Source organism: Homo sapiens, chromosome 12, assembly GCF_000001405.40.
Source record: "Homo sapiens chromosome 12, GRCh38.p14 Primary Assembly".
NCBI classification, from domain to species: Eukaryota; Metazoa; Chordata; class Mammalia; order Primates; family Hominidae; genus Homo; species Homo sapiens.
The window spans coordinates 8,697,646-8,711,166 of NC_000012.12; the positions used below are offsets into that span (position 1 = coordinate 8,697,646).

Here is a 13,521-nt window from a genome sequence, read left to right on the forward strand (position 1 = left end):
TGGGGAGGCGCGTCCTCGGAGCGCCCTCGCGCTCCCTTTTCGCTCCCCGCGCGCGATCCATCGCCTCTCTTCCCCCGAGGCCAGCGATGGCTCGGGTGCGGGCGAGGAGCTGGGAGGGCGGCTCTCGACGCAGGTGTCAGATCCGCTCGGCAGTGCTCGGCGCGCTGGCCCGGCCCCCAGCTCCTCCGGCCGCCGCCCCCCGCCCGCCGCGCCGCGGCGCCAGGAGGGCGGGGCCGGGGCGCGCGCCGCTCCTCAGCAAGCGGGCGGGCGGCGTTCGGTCTGAGGGAGCGGGGCGGTCTCCGCCGGCGTCGCGCGCGCTGTGTGTGAGCGGGGTCGCGCGCGCGCGCGGCAGGCGAGTGAGGGAACGAGGAGCGGCCGGGTGTGAGTGTGTGGGAGTGAGAGTGTGTGGGAGTGGGGTGAGGGAGAAGCTGACGGGACGCGAGGCTGTGAGAAACTGGGCGAGTGTGCGAGGACGCCCGGCCAGCCTGCGGGAGCCGCAGTCGGCGGAGGAGAAAGGAGGCGGCTCCCGGTATCCCGACCCCCTCCCCCTCCTCTCCTTCCCCCACTTCCAGCCGCCCGGCGGCCCGCGCTTCCTCGAAGGCCCCAGCCCGGCTCAGTCGGCCGAGAGCGAGGGAGGAGCCCCCCGACCCAGGTGAGCGGTACGACCGCTGTTGCCCTCGGGTGTAGAGCAGTGAGGCGAAGGCGCGCCCTCCCGAGTGGGCGAGTTCAGCGGAATGGATCCCCCGATTAGCGGGGGCTGGGCCGGGGAGGGGACCGGCCCGAGCGCGCCCGGGGTCCGGGGCTAGTTGAGGCCGGTGGTCGCCGCTCCGCGGAGTCGGTGGGGAGCGAGGCGGGGCCCGGCCTTCGCGCGTGTGCCGGGAGGCGCCGGCCCGTGGCGTGTGCGTGCGACCGGGCGAGCCGTGTCGAGGGGGCGGCGACTTCGGGCGTGTAAGGAGTATGGTTTCCCCGCCGGCGAGGGGGTGTGGTAACCCCGGGAACGCCGGCTGGAGTCGGACCCGCGGGCTGCTGACCTGTCCTCGGGATTGCGGCGACACTCCCCCTCCCCCCCCTTCCCACAAATTCTATGGAGCGACCGCGGGAGGAGGATCACGTGGTGCGGTCCCGCAGCTACTGTATTCGATTCCACGTTTTCCTCCTTACGTGTAAATTTTAGAGAGTGTGACAGTCATTCCATCTTTTCCTTTGACAGTCTCTGAATGAGAAGGGGATGACCAAATAATTGCTTGTCCAGTTTTGATTCTTTAAAAATTTGAGCATGATGTAAATATTACACTACTTGCCCCTCACCCCCCCCCAAAAAAAACCCAAACCAGAGTGGTAATAATTTCAATCTCCCCTTATTAATATGTCCTTATCTCTGATCACACATTTGTTATTTCACTGTTTTATCCCATTTGTATTGGCGAATAGCGATGGGGTGGTAATTCTGTTCTGTGAGGGGTTATTGCACTAACCATGCTCAATGCAACTGCTATGTAAATTCTTTCAGTATGCTGTCATTTTCCCATTAGTTATATATATTGTTACCACATCTTTGTGGAGTTAGGTTCAACTCTAAATAGGTATAGAAAGTATATGGGCAGCCTACTATGCAGATTTTTTTTTGTGGGCTTGGTATGTTCATTATATTTATGGGTGTTCTTAATTATTAACTATAACCATTTAAATTGAAATGTTTTTAAATCTCATTTTTGTTACTTTCACAATATTGGGTACCTTAAAGGTCATTTCTTCTATTTTAAAAAATGATTTCTTAAAAGCAATTATGAGAATACTTTTAAGATATTCATTTGGAATAAAACACTCTCTGAAATTCCGGTCTCAGAGATTTAACATTTATTTCCTAAATTTTAGTATGCAACCCTCTAATTTTAAAAATAATCATAGTTAAATTTCTTTTCCAATGGTTACTGTTTTATTTGGTTAGTGTGTCAAAGGGGAGGAGGCCTATTTTGTCTTGAGGTAATCCTATTTTATTCTTTTCTATCTTGGTTAGTGCTGTTAATTTCCTTCTTTCATGTCATTGATTTAGTTGTTAGTTTGGCAACATGGCTGTTGATGTTTTTTATCTTTCTCTGTCTCCCTTTTTTCTCTCTTGTCTTCTCTTACCCCTACCAGGTGCTGGAGTCTGCTTGTCAGGGAGGGGGGCAGTCTGTGATTCTGAGAACAGAGCCAAGAAGGGGAACAGCAAATTCAGTCACAGACAATCCTCCACTCGGTCAAGAGCCACTTTTCTCTTCCTGCCTTGCCCCCCCGCAGGGGGTAAGGAACTGAGCGTTTAATCTTTAGCCGGTTGGCTACCAGCTAAAATTCTACTTATCTTAGTTTCTAGTGGATAGCTTTCTTATTTTGCCCATGTTTTCTTAGAATCCCTGTTTAATATACTTTTGTCAGTAGTAGTATCTAGGAGTAGCAGGGAGAGTGACAATAAATTAGCCCCTTCTTTTTTCCCTTGTCATTCAGGCCCCTTTTCCTCTCCAGAGGGAAATTACCAGTAAACTCTTCTAAATCTTCCACCCCTTCTCAGTCATACTGTGAAGAAACACACTAAAGTGGACATTATTTGACCAGTGAACACGAACCCAGCTTCAGGCATTGGTTTGTTGTGGCACATGGAGAAACATCTCTTTTAAAATATCTCCCAATTACCCTTTTCACAATTTGTATCCACCTAGGATTTGCTGCTGGGGTAAGTCACTAGATTTATTTCTCAAAGCTCCCCTCTCTATGAGCTGAAAGACTGACCAACCATGAACACTAGTAGGGGATGGGGAAAGGGGACAGAGCAGAGCCAGTTGTTCCACACTTTGGGAAGCAGGAGTAGCTTTTATCATCTTCCTCTGGGGAGCAGGCATAGAGACATAAACTGAGTGAAAATGGGTGGAGGAAGAACTTCTATACCCACGAACAACATGTGAAGAGAGAGAACCAAACATAAAGTAAGGAGGGTGAGTTTTATTGTATGTTGCTTGCTGACAACTGTTTTGGGGGCGCTTCAGTGATATACATTCATAGAAAGACTTTGTTTTATGGCAGATTAGTTTACAAAGAGTATTCTGCAAGTGGGATTAAGTCACAAGCAAATGAGAAAAGAGCCTCTAGAAATTGTAATTATGTGGCCTGGCGCAGTGGCTCACACCTGTAATCCCAGCACTTTGGGAGGATGAGGCAAGCTGATCACTTGAGGTCAGGAGTTTGAAACCAGCCTGGCCAACATGGCGAAACCCTGTCTCTGTGAAAAATATAAAAAGTAGCTGGGCATGGTGACGCACACCTGTAGTCACAGCTACTCAGGAGGCTGAGGCACAAGAATCGCTTGAACCTGGGAGGTGGAGGTTGCGGTGAGCCGAAATTTTATCACTGCACTCCAGCTTGGGCAACAGAGCAAGACTGTCTCAAAAAAAAAGAAAAAAGAAACTGTAATACGTTATTAGAATCTGAGGGAGGAGGAGACTGCGATAGTGAAAAAAGTATTATTTTTAAATGTTAGCTGTGCTGATATGTGCAGTTGTTTCAAGAGGTTGAGTAGGGAGATTACGTACAGATGTTGGAAATTGTCTCTTAATTGTCTCGGAATTTTCTGCTTGTCATATGAGGGATTGTTAAATAAGATAGTACCTCCAAAAGTATCTACGTAATACATTTTAGATTTATATGCCATATGTATCTGTGTACATGTTAGGTTTGTAGAAAAGTACTGACTTTCTGGCTTCATGGTAACTAATGCCATGGTGTTATTTTTAATGTTTTCTTTTTCAGTGTTTTTTTTTTCCCCTCTCAAAATTGGCTTGGAGGACAAAAGCCACAGAGCTAGCCAGCTCTACTCCCCTAGAGGCTGGTCTGCATGGAACCCATCTGTTTATATCTTTTTTCTTCTTTCTGAAATTATGTTTTTGTTTTTTTTCTAACTTTGTTAACAAAGCTAATCATTTCTGGATCAGTTATATGACCGTTATGGGAAGTAAGCACAGGCCTGATCTCTTTTTTTTTTTTTTTTTAAGAGAACCCGAAAACATTAATTAGGAATTTTGGATAGCTACATTTAGATTTTACAGGGGCCAGGTGCGGTGGCTCACACCTGTAATCCCAGCACTTTGGGAGGCTGAGGCAGGCGGATCACTTGAGGTCAGGAGTTTGAGACCAGCCTGGCCAAAATGGCAAAACCCCATCTCTACTAAAAATACAAAAATTAGCCAGGTGTGGTGGTGTGCGTCTGTAATCTCAGCTACTCGGGGGGGCTGAGGCAGGAGAATTGCATTAACCCTGGAGGCAGAGGTTGCAGTGAGCTTAGACTGTACCACTGCACTCAAGTCTGGGTCAAAGAGCAAGACTCCATCTCAATAAAAAAAAAAAAAATAGATCTTATGGGGACACCCATTTGCCTGGTATTTAATATTAAAATAGCTATGATTTTTTGATACTCTCTTACAATTTGATATAGCAGATTATTAAAATATGTTCTGTTCCATAACTTGTCAGTGTTACATGTCAGGTTATGCATTTCCCACTGGGGATAACATCAGGGAATAAAATGGTTGTCGGTTCTTTCTTCATGGAGTTTACAGACTAATTTTGGTAATCTCTGTATTTTTTATCTGTCTATCAGTTATCCGAGCAGTGTCTGAAGGAGTCTACTGGATTCTTAGGAAATGCGTACTAATTTGTGAATTGATGAGCTGGCAAAACAAAAATCTGTTTAAACATTTACATGCCTGATTAATTTTACTACCTTTTATTTCAAAAGTGTCTATATCAAGTTGTGACAAAACAGATTCAAACTTGTTCCTTTCTTAAATGCTTTTATTCTGTATTCAGCTTCTTACATTTCTTTTTTTTCCTTCTGATACTAGCTTTTGGCTTCACGTTCCTATAAATTTAGAAATAAGGTCTCTAAAGTGGAATATAGAATTGCTGTATAAGATCAGACCATTTCTTACTACTGTGCTTTCCAATTTTGAGGAGTATTTGAATTTTTCATACTTTATCAGAAAACTGCATTTTGAAAAGTCAGGCAGGGTTGCCCAAATAGCAACCTTGGAATTCTTCCCTGAGGCTTTGGAGTTCTCAGTTGTTAGTTTATTCCTTTGACATGTGATTTAGTTAGCCATATCTGTAAAGCCTTGGGCTTGAGAGTAAATGAATAGCTTTCTAACTCCTTTTTCAAAGTAATATCTGGGAAGAAAATTTAGACAGAAGGCCAGACATTTATCATGTTAAATATGAAACTTGGGGACTTTGTACTGTGCATTAAACCTAGGAACTGTCTTCTGTGCCATGTTCCAGAAATAATTTGATGTAAGTTTCTTCTATTAAGTGAAATCATTAGAAATGTTTGGAGGCTGGGCATGGTGGCTCACACCTGTAATCCCAACACTTTGTGGGGCCAAGATGGGTGGATCACCTAAGGCCAGGAGTTTGAGACCAGCCTGGCCAACATGGCGAAAACCCATGTCTACTAAAAATACAAAAATTAGCTGGGTGTAGTGGCACGTGCCTGTAATTTCAGCTACTCGGGAGGCTGAGGCAGGAGAATTGCTTGAACCCAGGAGGCAGGTTGCAGGGAGCCAAGATCGCACCACTGCACTCCAGCCTGGGCAGCAGAGTGAGACTCCCTCTCAAAAAAAAGAAAAAGAAAAGAAAAAGAGAAATGTTGTTTGGATTCCAGAAGAACTTTTTTAAGGCAGGGTTTTGCTTTGTCACCCAGGCTGAAGTACAGTAGTATGTGATCATAGCTCACTGTAGCCTTGAACTTCTAGGCTCAAGCGAACCCCCTGCCTCAGCCTCTTTAGTGGCTGACACCATAGGCCTGTGCCAACATACCCGGCTAATTTTTTTTTCTTTCACTTTTTGTAGAGATGAGACCCCACTATGTTGCCCAGGCTAGTCTTGAACTCCTGTCCTCCTACTTCAGCCTCCTAAAGTGTTGATTTTTTTGTAGAGATGAGGTCCCACTGTGTTGTCCAGGCTGGTCTCAAACTCCTGGCCTCAAGCAATCCTTTTGCTTCAGACTCCCAAAGTACTAGGATTACAGGTGTGAATCACTGTGCCTGGCCCCTACCACTTTCTAATTGTGACTTTAAACAAGTTATCTAACCTTTCTGCTAGAACAGCGTCACTGCCAAATGAAGACCATAGCACACTGCAGAGGGATGGTTGTGAGGATTAAATGATAAAAATAAACCATCTCATATTGTGTTTGGTACATATAATTACTCAGTATGTGAATTTATTTTCTTTATCCAAATTAGCTTTGATGGTTCTGATTTCTTTGTAGAAAAAAAGCATAGAGAAATAGAAAATCTTAATTCCAGTCTTGGGTCTACTATTGTGATATCTTGGGCTGGTCTTTCTTTAAATTGGAATAATAGAAGCCTGTGTTCCTCACATTATTATATACAGATTAAGTGCCAAAATATATGTAGAAAGTGTTTTATGGGTCGGACGTGGTGGCTCACGCCTGTAATCCCAACACTGGGAGGCTGAGGCAGGCGGATCATTTGGGGTCAGGAGTTTGAGACCAGCCTGAGCAACGTGATGAAACCCTGTCTCTACCAAAAAATACAAAAATTAGCCGGGTGTGGCGGTGTGTGCTTGTGGTCCCAGCTATTCAGGAGGCTGAGGTGGGAGAATCACTTGAACCCAGGAGGCGGAGGTTGCAGTGAGCCAAGATCACACCATTGCACTCCAACCTGGGTGACAGAGTGAGACCCTGTCTCAAAAAAAAAAAAAATTGATTTGGTAAGGAAAATGGCATTTTATAAACTCAGATCACTTAAACATGCTTATTTGTTGAACATGTTTTCAATCATGACTTAACCTGTAGAAAGAGAAATTGTCTTTGTAACAAATAGAATTGTTTAAACATAGACTTTAAGAATTCATCTTATAGCACTGGCAGACCCTAGTTTTTAAAAGTAAACCTTAATTATATGCTATGATAATGGCTTGGGTGCAAATGTTAGCACGTCTGTTAAGTGTTCCCTGACTCCTAAAGTCATTCTTCCGGAGGATGTGTTATTTAACTAATGCATTAACACTTGAGCCATGGCTCATGCCTGTAATCCCAGCTATCCGGGAGACTGAGGCAGGAGAATTTTGCTTGAGGCCAGGAGTTTGAGACCAGCCTGGGCAACATAGTGAGAACCTGCCTCTAAAAGAAGAGGAAAAAATTAGCTGGGTGTGGTGGTACATACCTGTCATCCCACCTACTTGGGAGGCTGAGGTGGGAGGATTATTTGAGCCCAAGATTGAAGGCTGCAGTTGCGTCACTGCAGGCTTGGTGCAGAGCAAGACCTCACCTCTAAAACACACACACACACACACACACACACACAAAACCCCAAACTAAAACCATTTGAGCTCAGACTTTACTAAATAGGTAAGTGTTTGGGGTATATATTCCAAGCAACAGGAAGCATGGACGAATATAATGTGTTTAGAAAATTGGAAGTGACAGAGGGCAGAAGATTTATTTGGAGGCTTTTATAGTAGTCCAAGTGTTGAATATACTGGAGATAAGAGTAAAGTGGGCCAGGCATGGTGGCTCATACCTGTAATCCTAGCACTTTGGGAGGCCAAGGCAGGAGGATCACTTGAAGTCAGGAGTTCGAGACCAGCCTGGCCAACATGGCGAAACTCCATCTCTACTAAAAATACAAAAATTAGCCGGGTGTGGTGGCACACGCCTGTAGTCCCAGCTACTCAGGAGGCTGAGGCAAGAGAATCGCTTGAACCCGGGAGGCAGAGGTTGCAGTGAGCCAAGATCACGTCACTGTACTCCAGCCTGGGTGACAGATTGAGACTCCATCTCAAAAAAAAAAAAAAAAAAGTAAAATGCCGGTGATATTAATATTTAGAAGTTAGAATTAGCTTTTTGTAAACAGTGAAAGAAGGATGGAAATAAAAATTGATGCCCAGTTGTCTGAATCGAGTGCCTTAATAAGGATAGGTATATCAGTCAGGGTTCTCCAGGGAAATAGACTCAATAAGATATGTTTATATATGTATTTTTAATTGTATACGTATTTTAAGCATTTAGCTTATGATTGCGGAGTTGCTAAGTTCAAAATCTGTAGAGTAAGCAGCAGTCTGTAAACTCAGACAGGACTTGATGTTGCAGTCTTGGGTCTGAAATTTTTGGGGAGACCAGCAGACTGGCAACTCAGGTAGCATTTCTGTGAGTCTGTCTATAAGTCCTGAGTCTTGAGGAAGAGTTCCTCCTCAGTTTTTACTTTTTAGCAAGACCTTCAACTGATTGGATGAAGCCCCTCCACATTATGGAGGGTAATTTCCTTTACTTAAGGTCAACTGATTAGATGTTAATCACGTATAGAAAATACCTTCAGCAATGTATAGACTATTGTTTGCCCAAATAGCTTGGAACCATTGCCTCACCAGGTTGATGTAAAATTTAATGATCACAATGGGGAATATAGGTGCTGAAACATTTCTGTGAATAAAAATACATTCTTTGTTTTGTTTTTTGTTTTTGAGGCGGAGTTTTGCCCTTGTCACCCAGGCTGGAGTGCAATGGTGCGATCTCAGCTCACTGCAACCTCCGCCTTCTGGGTTCAAGTGACTCCTCTTCCTCAGGCTCCCAAGTAGCTGGGATTACAGGTGCCCACCACCATGCCTAGCTAATTTTTGTATTTTTAGTAGAGATGGGGTTTCACCAGGTTGGCCAGGCTGGTCTTGAACTCCTGACCTCAGGTGAGGTGATCCACCTGCCTCGGCCTCCCAAAGTGCTGGAATTACAGGTGTGAGCCACCACGCCTGGACTTTTTTTTTTTTTTTTTTTTCCTGAGACTGAGTTTCGCTCTTGTCACCCAGGCTGGAGTGCAATGGCACAATCTTGGTTCACTGCAACCTCTGCCTCCTGGGTTCAAGCGATTCTCCTGGCTCAGCCTCCTGAGTAGCTGGGACCATAGGTGTGCACCCCTGCGTCCGGCTAATTTTTTTGTATTTTTAATAGAGACAGGGTTTCACCATTTTGGCCAGGCTAGTCTCAAACTCCTGACCTCAGGTGATCCCGCCCACCTCAGCCCTCCAAAGTGCTGGGATTACCGGCATGAACCACCATGCCTGTCCTTTTTTTGTTTTAAAAAACATGCTTAACTGAGGCAACAGTGGGTGGCATTTAGTTAGGGATGCCCAGTAGGCTCATTGAAATGGATTCTGAAATTTAGTTGAGAAAGAAATATCTAGTGGGTCAGTGGTTCAGAAGGAATAAAGTTGAAACCTGGATTCGGATGACATTTCTAGAAAGTGGAAAGCAGAGTTTAAGAATGAAACTCGGGGGATCATATGCAGAAGGAGAGATGTCAGGAGGAAAGTCACAGAAAAAGAGGCTTGATAGCATACCTAAAATTTAATGAGAGAGCGTGGAAAAACAACATTCAATGTGCTTTTTCCTGTTCTTTCAGCAACACCAATCAACACAGAAGATCCACTGATGGAGATTTCTCCTCACCAACAGTCATTTCTGCAACGGACACCAGCTAGGTGTCCTCTAATTTCTGACACTGTCTCCCACAGGTTAAGTGCTCAGTTGCCAAAACGACCCCGTACCATGCCCCCCACCAGTACAGGCCTCTGGACTTCAGCCAGAAGGCTGACTGGCTTTAAGTTGGAGTTCCCACCAACCCTGTCTTTGGGTTTGATTAATTTGCTAGAGCAGTTTACATAACTCAGGGAAACATGTTTACGTGTATGTTATAAAGGATACAGATGAAAAGGTGCCTAGGGCAAAGTATGGAAAAGGGGCACGGAGCTTCTTTGCCCTTCCTGGGTGCGTCACCCTCCAGGATCTGCTACGTGTTCAGCTATCTGGAAGCATTTTGAGCCCAATCCTTTTGGGTTTTTTGGAGACTTCGTTACACAGGCATGATTGATTAAACCACTGGCCACTGGTGATCAACTTGACTGTTAGCCCGTCTCCCGTCTCCAGAGGTTAGGGGATGAGACGGAAGGTTCCAACCCTCTAATCATGCCTTGGTCTTTCTGGTGACCAGCCTCCATACTAAAGCTGCCTAGGGGCTGCCAGCCATCAGTCAATTATTAGCATACAGAAAGACATCATTTTGGAGATTCTTATGATTTTAGGAGTTGTATGCCAGGAAACAGGGTTGAAGACCAAGTATATATTTTGTAATATCACACTTTTAAGAGACACAAATTTGTTATTTTTCTCCACAAACCTGATTCAACTCCCGTGATTCCTATCCAAGAGGGGATAGTGTTGAAAACAAGTCTTTAGTATTATTATTTTTTATCCTATGTACAGTCTTTCCCGAAGCAAGCCTGTATTAACTGACAAATGGAATAAATGCTATTAAAATTCTATCGTATGTTACAATAGAATTCTATACAGATTCCACTGTGTGTTACAGTAGAGTTCTATACAGATTCCACTGTGTGTTACAATAGAGTTCTATACAGATTCCATTATGTGTTACAGTAGAGTTCTATACAGATTCTATTGTGTGTTAGAGTTTTATACATATTCTATTTTATATTAGTGTATTTTTTTCCTTTAGCTTTATTTTTCTTCAGTATTTGGGATTTTGAGCTCATATGTTAATGGATTTTCTTAGTAAGAGGTACCTTAATATCTTCAGATGGTAGATTGTGATTTTTTGCTTTTTCTGTACTAGAATAAATACCTTTGGGAAGGGTCCTCACAAGAAAGATGAGAGGGAGAGAAATGACTTTCATTTTAACTTTTTTTCTTTTATTCTGTGATGTAATAGAAATCTTTTATGCTCTCATTTGTCCTCTGTACAGAATAGGTTGACACATCCTTTTGGAAGCTTTAAATATTTGTAATGTATTTTGAGATTTTGACTCTAAACATTGAACTTTTCCTTTGTTTATTAAGGAAATTTGATCCAGTAAGAAACAACACTAAGTTTTAGATCCCAGGATGTTGACTTGAAAAACTTTTAAAGTAGAAAAATTATTCCTCGGGTTGGTCTAATAAGGGAACTAAAAGTTGGGAGAAACAAAGTGGTACTTTCTAAACTATTACCTTAGAAAAAATTTAGGAAATCTTAAGCAGTGAAACAAATGTCTGCTTATTTCCTATTTCAGAAGATGAATGAAGCACTTTAAGATTCCCATATACTCAGTTTTGCCTGAGTATTCCAAGATGCAGTGCTGTTTTTTATTGGTATGCTGATCCAGAAGTTTGTGTGGGAAAACTCTCAAAAATAAACTCTCTTTGTAGAATTTCTCTTTATTTCAAAAAAGGTACTTTTGTCAGTAGTATTTATTCAGCATCTGATATTTATACATTGTTTTTCTTGATGCACTGGAGGAAATAAAGAGAGGATGGGATTGGTTGACCTGAGCTTACATTCTAAGAGAGGAAATACTATACGGTACTCATCTATACTATATGTGGACATTTGCAATTGCTGCGTTTATGTTTCGCTACTGGAGAATATTTTCTTACAGTTATCTTATTGGGTAACCAAGTTTACTCCTTTAAACTACTAGGAAAAAAGTTTGCCATTTTATTTTATAGAGGACTCTACTGTCTTTTAAAATAGTGAATATTGTCTGAATTTTAAGATTCTGGATCATTAGCAGGACTGTCATTTTATTGGTGCACTTTTGAGCTCCTGTACTATTTAGATTTACTGGAATCCTTTTGACTTGTCAGCATTTCTGTTTTTTCCTGTTTTTCTTTTTTCTTTATGTTAGCAGATGGGAAAAATAGAAAAGTAGATGTTTTGAAATTCTGTTAAGAGGAAACAGCTGTGCCCAAGGCTAGGAGAGAACCATTGAGGGGCAGAAGCAGGCAGGCACGCCTGGAGCCTCTACCTTTGGGATTGAAGTCTTCACCCAACACTTCTGGCATCTCAGATGTGAATCCAGTTGGAGCACCCCTAAGAAGGCAAGCAGCTGTTGCTGCAGCAGCCCTTGGGGAGGCCCCATCGCTTGGGCACCGAGGAAGGCTAGCCGCATGTCCTCCTGTGGGAATGGCAGTGTACCACTGGACAGGTTTCACTTTCCCTGGTTTCACTTTCTGTGGTTTCAGTTACGCCCTGACACAGTACAACAGGATATTTTGAGAGTGGGAGAGACACCGCATTCATATAACTTTTATCATAGTATATTGTTATAATTGTTCTATTTTATTGCTAACATCTTACTGTGCCTAATATGCAAATTATCATAGATATGTATGTTTAGGAAAAAACATAGTATATGTACTATCTGCAGTTTCAGGCATCCACTGGGGGTCTTGGAATTATCCCTTGTGGATATGGAGGGACTACTGTACCTGGTAATCAGAGATTTAATGTAGAAAAATGTGGTTTTTGTTTTGTTTTGTTTTGAGATGGAGTCTTGCTGTTTTCCAGGCTGGAGTCCAGTGGCATCATCTGGGGTCACTGCAGTTTCGACTTCCCAGATTCAAGTGATTCTCCTGCCTCCGCCACCTGAGTAGCTGGGTTTACAAGCATGCACCAACACACCCGGCTATTTTTTTTTTTTGTATTTTTAGTAGAGATGGAGTCTTAATCATGTCAGCCAGGCTGGTCTTGAACTCCTGACCTCAAGTGATCTGCCCACCTCAGCCTCCCAAAATGAACTACCGCTCCCCGCCAGTTTTGTTTGTTTGTTTGTTTGTTTCCTTCTTTTTTTTTTTTTTTTTTTTGATGGAGTTTCGCTCTGTCACCCAGGCTGGAGAGCAGTGGCACGATCTCCACTCACTACAACCTCCGCCTCCTGGGTTCAAGCGATTATCCTGCCTCAGCCTCCCGAGTAGCTGGGATTACAGGCATGTACTGCCACACCTGGCTCATTTTTGTATTTTTAGTAAAGACAGGGTTTTGCCATATTGGCCAGGCTGGTCTCAAACTCCTGACCAAGTGATCCGCCCACCTTGGCCTTCCAAAGTTCTGGGATTACAGGCAGGAGCCATCATGCCTGGCCTAGAAAAACATGTTGACTGAAGGCTTTGTGGCTCTTCAGAGGGGAATATTATTTTCTGATTTCAGAATCATCGGGAACACTGTTGTAGCCCATGTAATTTCTGACTACTGATGTATCAGCAGCGGAACATTTCTGCTTCCCAATTGCTAGTGACTATAACATTCCATCCTGACTGCTATTGGGGCAGCAACTGCCACACTCAGGTGAAGACCCACTGTGCAATGAAATTAATCATTGATTGGCAAGGCATGGTGGCTCACAGCCATAACCCCAGCACTTTGGGAGGCCAAAGTGGGAGGATTGGTTGAGGCCAGGAGTTTGAGATCAGTCTGGGCAACGTAGTGAGACCACATCTTTACCAAAAAAAAAAAAAAAAAAAAAAAATTAGAGACCGGGCCTGTTGGCTCACGCCTATAATTCCATCATTTTGGGCAACATGGCAAAACCCCATATCTACTAAAAAGAGAAAAGTACGAAAATTAGCTGGGCATGGTGGTGGGCATCTGTAATCCCAGCTACTCAGGAGGCTGAGGCAGGAGAATTGCTTGAACCCAGGAGACA

The 13,521-nt window shown here is 43.7% G+C and overlaps 1 protein-coding gene across 43 annotated transcripts in view, besides 4 other annotated features; it reads left to right on the forward strand.

Annotated features, from left to right (window-relative positions):
- The window catches only part of RIMKLB (ribosomal modification protein rimK like family member B), a 114,454-nt gene that overhangs the window by 29,008 nt on the left and 71,925 nt on the right, over positions 1–13,521 (forward strand). For 18 of the 43 annotated variants that reach the window (NR_147949.2, NR_147950.2, NR_147947.2 and 15 more), the window contains exon 1: positions 346–652. The exons of 15 other annotated variants lie outside the window; for them this stretch is intronic. The gene's annotated coding sequence lies outside the window, so the exon portion shown is untranslated. Of the gene's footprint in view, positions 1–345; positions 653–2,139; positions 2,970–13,521 lie in introns of those variants that run through there. 10 more of the 43 variants (NR_147946.2, NR_147948.2, NM_020734.5 and 7 more) reach the window with 6 other exon arrangements.
- Positions 151–250: a silencer, noted in NCBI's record as "silent region_4216". NCBI's record gives its function as "represses an Ori minimal core promoter by ATAC-STARR-seq in GM12878 lymphoblastoid cells {active_cell/tissue: GM12878}" and the evidence as "EXISTENCE:reporter gene assay evidence [ECO:0000049][PMID:35858748]".
- Positions 151–1,141: a biological region, named in NCBI's record as "H3K27ac hESC enhancer GRCh37_chr12:8850416-8851382".
- Positions 175–1,141: an enhancer, noted in NCBI's record as "H3K27ac hESC enhancer chr12:8850416-8851382 (GRCh37/hg19 assembly coordinates)". NCBI's record gives its function as "activates a minimal SCP1, AML or CMV promoter by ChIP-STARR-seq in naive H9 embryonic stem cells {active_cell/tissue: H9 hESC(naive)}" and the evidence as "EXISTENCE:reporter gene assay evidence [ECO:0000049][PMID:30033119]".
- Positions 781–950: a silencer, noted in NCBI's record as "silent region_4217". NCBI's record gives its function as "represses an Ori minimal core promoter by ATAC-STARR-seq in GM12878 lymphoblastoid cells {active_cell/tissue: GM12878}" and the evidence as "EXISTENCE:reporter gene assay evidence [ECO:0000049][PMID:35858748]".